We start from the raw sequence: 4,351 nt of genomic DNA, 5'->3' as shown, positions 1-4,351 counted from the left end.
GTGTGTGTGGTTTTTTTGTAAACGGCCGAGGCTGTTAACTCGAGGGATAATTTATATACCACAAACTTCACTTGTTTTATAACATTTCCAGAAAGCCCTGGGTCTGCTTAGCAGCCCAGGCTCTCCTCCGACTGCCCTGCCAAACTCCACATCATTCTGCTGGTCGATAGCCTGCTGGCGTGCCAGTGCCTGCGGTGTGCTCCCGGCATCCTCTCGACTTCCAGCCGCTTGTGTGTTTGCCTGCTAGAATCTTGGGTTTTTTTTTGTTTTGTTTTTTTTTTTTTTTTTTTTTTTTTGAGACGGAGTCTCGCTCTGTCGCCCAGGCCGGACTGCGGACTGCAGTGGCGCAATCTCGGCTCACTGCAAGCTCCGCTTCCCGGGTTCACGCCATTCTCCTGCCTCAGCCTCCCGAGTAGCTGGGACTACAGGCGCCTGCCACCGCGCCCAGCTAATTTTTTGTATTTTTAGTAGAGACGGGGTTTCACCTTGTTAGCCAGGATGGTCTCGATCTCCTGACCTCATGATCCACCCGCCTCGGCCTCCCAAAGTGCTGGGATTACAGGCGTGAGCCACCGCGCCCGGCCGAATCTTGGGGTTTTTATAGGCACAGAATGGGGGCCTGGCAGGCCAGGGTGGTCTTGGGAAATGCAACATTTGGGCAGGAAAACAAAAATGCCTGTCCTCGCCGAGGTCCGCAGGCACAGGCCAGGGGATAGAGCCCTAGCCAGGGACCACGCCCTTCCCCCATTCCATATCATTTAAAGGGACGATGCCCTTCCCTTGCCAGCACTTCCCTTCCCCGCTTCTGTGTCATTACGAAGGAGCTTAGTCTTTGGACCACTTTTCTTTATACTCACTCCCTAGATTATCTCATCTGGTCTCCACATTTTAAATACCAGGTATATAAGCTAATGACTCCCAAATCTATAGCCCCACCCTGCCCCTCTCCCCTAAACTCCAGATTCATCTCTTAGATGTCTGATAGGTATTGCAAACTTAGCATGCTCAGAACCAAGTTTTGATCTTTACCTAAAACTGTTCCTCCCACAGTCTTCCCTAAACCAGCTAATAGCAACACTATATTCCAGTTGCTCATAAAACCCTTGGAGTAATCCTTGACTCCGCTCTCCTCCCCACTCCTACAACAATCCATCAGAAATCCTATTGACTCGACTTGTGAAATATATCCAGAATCCAGCCACTTTTCACATCTACACTGCTGCCACCCAGGTCAAGCCACCACTTCCCTCCCCTGGTTTATCGCAATAGCCACATTACTGGTCCTCTTCTTACTCCCTACACTCAATTCTTAACATGGGAGCCAGAGTGATTCTTTTAAAACTTGAGTCAGACCACAGCACAACTTTATTCAAAACCCTGCAATGACTTCCCATCTCACACAGAACAAAAGCCGACATCCCTACCATGGCTTACTGGACTCTGACCACAGGCACTCTGACCTCAGCTCCTTGGCCTCTCCCCTTGTTCATGCTGCTTCAGTCTCTCTGGCCTACTTGCTCTTCCTCAATCCCATCTGCCTCAGAATCTTGATACTGATTGTTCCCTCTGCCTGTAAGACGTGTCACCAGAAAACTGGCTGATTTCTTTATCTCCTACAAGTCTTTGCTCAGATCTTAACTTTTCAATGAAACCTATCCACACTACCCTATTTAATACCATAACCTGACGCCCTTCCCTCTCAATCCCCTTTACCTTGTTCTATTTTTTAATTTTTGCATGGAATTTTTCACGCTTTAACTTGACAAACTACTTCTAAATTTAATGTGAAAGAGCAAAGGGCCAGAAAAAGCCGATAAAATTTTGAAGGAGAATAAAGAAGAATATTATCCCTACCAGATAGAAAACCTATTATAAAGCCACAGCCATTAAATGGGTAGAGCAATGGTGCAGAGATGGAAAAATAGACCAATGGAACAAAGAGCCCAGAAACAAACTCATGTCTACACAGAAACTTGGGATATGGCATGTTGGCATCACAAATCATTGAGAAAGGAAAACTATTTGAAAACTTGTGCCAGGACAACTGGCTTTCTATTTGAAAAAAGATAAAAAGATAAAATTAGATCCCTATTTTACTTCATATACAAGATAAATTCTAGAGAGATTGAAGAACTAAACATAAAAAGAGAAACTTTCAACCTTTAGCAGAAAATATAGGAATATATTTATGACATCCAGCTATGAATGTTTTCAAAAACAAGACAAAAATGCACAAACTATAAAGAAAAATACTGACATATTTTGCTATATTAATATTTTAAAGTATGTGTATAACAGAAAGTACAATAAACCAAATTAAAAGATATACCACAATCTAAAAGATGGTACACAATAATGTCTCATTTCTAGTATTTATGTATTTTTAAACCACTAGCAATTTATAAAGATAAATAATTCAGTGAAAATATTTTTAATATTCAAGATAAAATTTAAATGTTGAAATATATGAACAAGCAATTAATTCACAGTAGAGGAAATTTATCAGGCCAGTATACAAATGAAAATACGTTCAATCTCATTCAATTAACATGAAATTAAAATGATGATACTCTCCAACTGGCTCTACAAAATAAAAATAAGACTGATAATGTGAAGCATACTTCATAAAGATATAGAGGAAATTAAGCTGTTATACACCCTGGAGGGGTGTGTGAACTCATCTAAACTACTTTGGAGAATAATTTGGCAATTAATATCCAATAAAGTTGAAAACGTATGTATCCTAGAACAATAGGTCCATTTTAAGTAGTGTATCTAGAGAAACTGTCATATATGCATATGAAATAGTGTACAAGCATACTCATTGCAAACTTGCTGGTGATTGCAAAAAATAATGGGAAATAATTTAAATGTTCATCAACAACAGAATGTATAGATATTACATGAGATGAATTTCATCAAAACAGTACATTTCAAAAACGTAATTGTGAATTTTAAAACAATGTGCAAAAGCATATATTGAATAGGGTATTAAATTATGCTAATTTTATAATAATACAAAATATTATTTATAAACATAAACACATCTACTAAAAATGTAAAACACATACATGGAAAAAATATATATGCTTTGCAGCAGATCACAAAATGGTCACAATTTTCCACCCCTCCTGGAAACCTACTCCCACTTACAATATGACTTTACTACTCCTTACATCAAAAAGCAAAGTGTATTTTCCCGTTCCTTGAATCTGGTGTCTTTGTGATTTGCTTTCACCAACAGAACACAGGAGATGGAATGTTTTGCCAGAGGCCTTGCATTCCTCCATGCTACTTTCCCTCCAAGGAACCCTGCTGCTACCTTGTAAATAAGCCTGGGCTAGCCTGCTGAATGATGAGCAATGCATGGCCCAGACAACCCCATTGCCCAGTCTGCAATCAGCTAACCGCCAGACATATGATTAAGGCCATACCAAGACAAGCCAGCACCCAGTTGATCTGCCAATTGACCACAGACAAAGGGGCAAGCACAGCTCAGATCAGCCTAGGCTAGCTCATGTCGATAGAACCACCCAGCTGACCTATGGACTATAAGCAATAATAAGCGGTTGTTGTTTTAAGTCACTGAGTTTTAGGGGCCATACTTTTTGACACAACAATGGACACATGATACATGTGCTATCTTCGGAACAATGATCTCTAAGGAAAGAAAGAAGGGAAGAATAACATGGGGAGTGAGCACCTTCACCTTTCACCTTTTATATTTATTTATTATTTTTTTTAAGACAGTCTCACTCTGTCACCCAGGCTGGAGTGCAGTGGCTCCATCTCGACTCACTGCAACTCTGCCTCCCAGGCTCAAGTAATCCTCCCACCTCAGCCTCCAGAGTAGCTGGGACTACAGGCACACACCACCACACCCAGCTAATTTTTGTATTTTTTTATAGAGATGGGGTTTTGTAGGTTGCCCAGGCTGGTCTCAAACCTGTGAGCTCAAGTGATCCTCCCACTTTGGCCTCCCAAAGTGCTGGGATTACAGGTGTAAGCTGCCACTCCCGGCCTACACTTAATTTTTTAAGAATTTAAAAGTCCTCAAATCCTGTGTTACATCTGGGTAGTAGCAACCGGGGAGTCTGTTCTATTATTTTTGGGATTATTTCTGAACACTTGAAATGCTGCCTAATTGTTTAAAGAAGCATGTCGCCATTCTTTATATTTTTGTCATGTTCATATAAATATGGTAGAAGTAGAAAGGGCTGAGAGGTCTGGTTCATCATTTGATTCTCATGTAGACTGGCTACACAGAAACTTGGAAATATTAGACCTTGCCTTATGTAACTGACCTCATGAGCCACAGTGACTCAGACTGACCAAATATTTTGGTCACAGC

The 4,351-nt window shown here is 41.1% G+C and overlaps 1 annotated feature.

The window, feature by feature from the left end:
• Positions 3,188-3,482: a silencer, noted in NCBI's record as "tiled region #834; K562 Repressive non-DNase unmatched - State 7:EnhWF". NCBI's record gives its function as "represses a minimal TATA promoter and a strong SV40 promoter by Sharpr-MPRA in K562 cells {active_cell/tissue: K562}" and the evidence as "EXISTENCE:reporter gene assay evidence [ECO:0000049][PMID:27701403]".

Source organism: Homo sapiens, chromosome 1 (assembly GCF_000001405.40).
Source record: "Homo sapiens chromosome 1, GRCh38.p14 Primary Assembly".
Classification (NCBI taxonomy): domain Eukaryota; kingdom Metazoa; phylum Chordata; class Mammalia; order Primates; family Hominidae; genus Homo; species Homo sapiens.
Note: the sequence above shows the minus strand (reverse complement) of the source record. Positions and strands in the feature narration are given on the sequence as shown.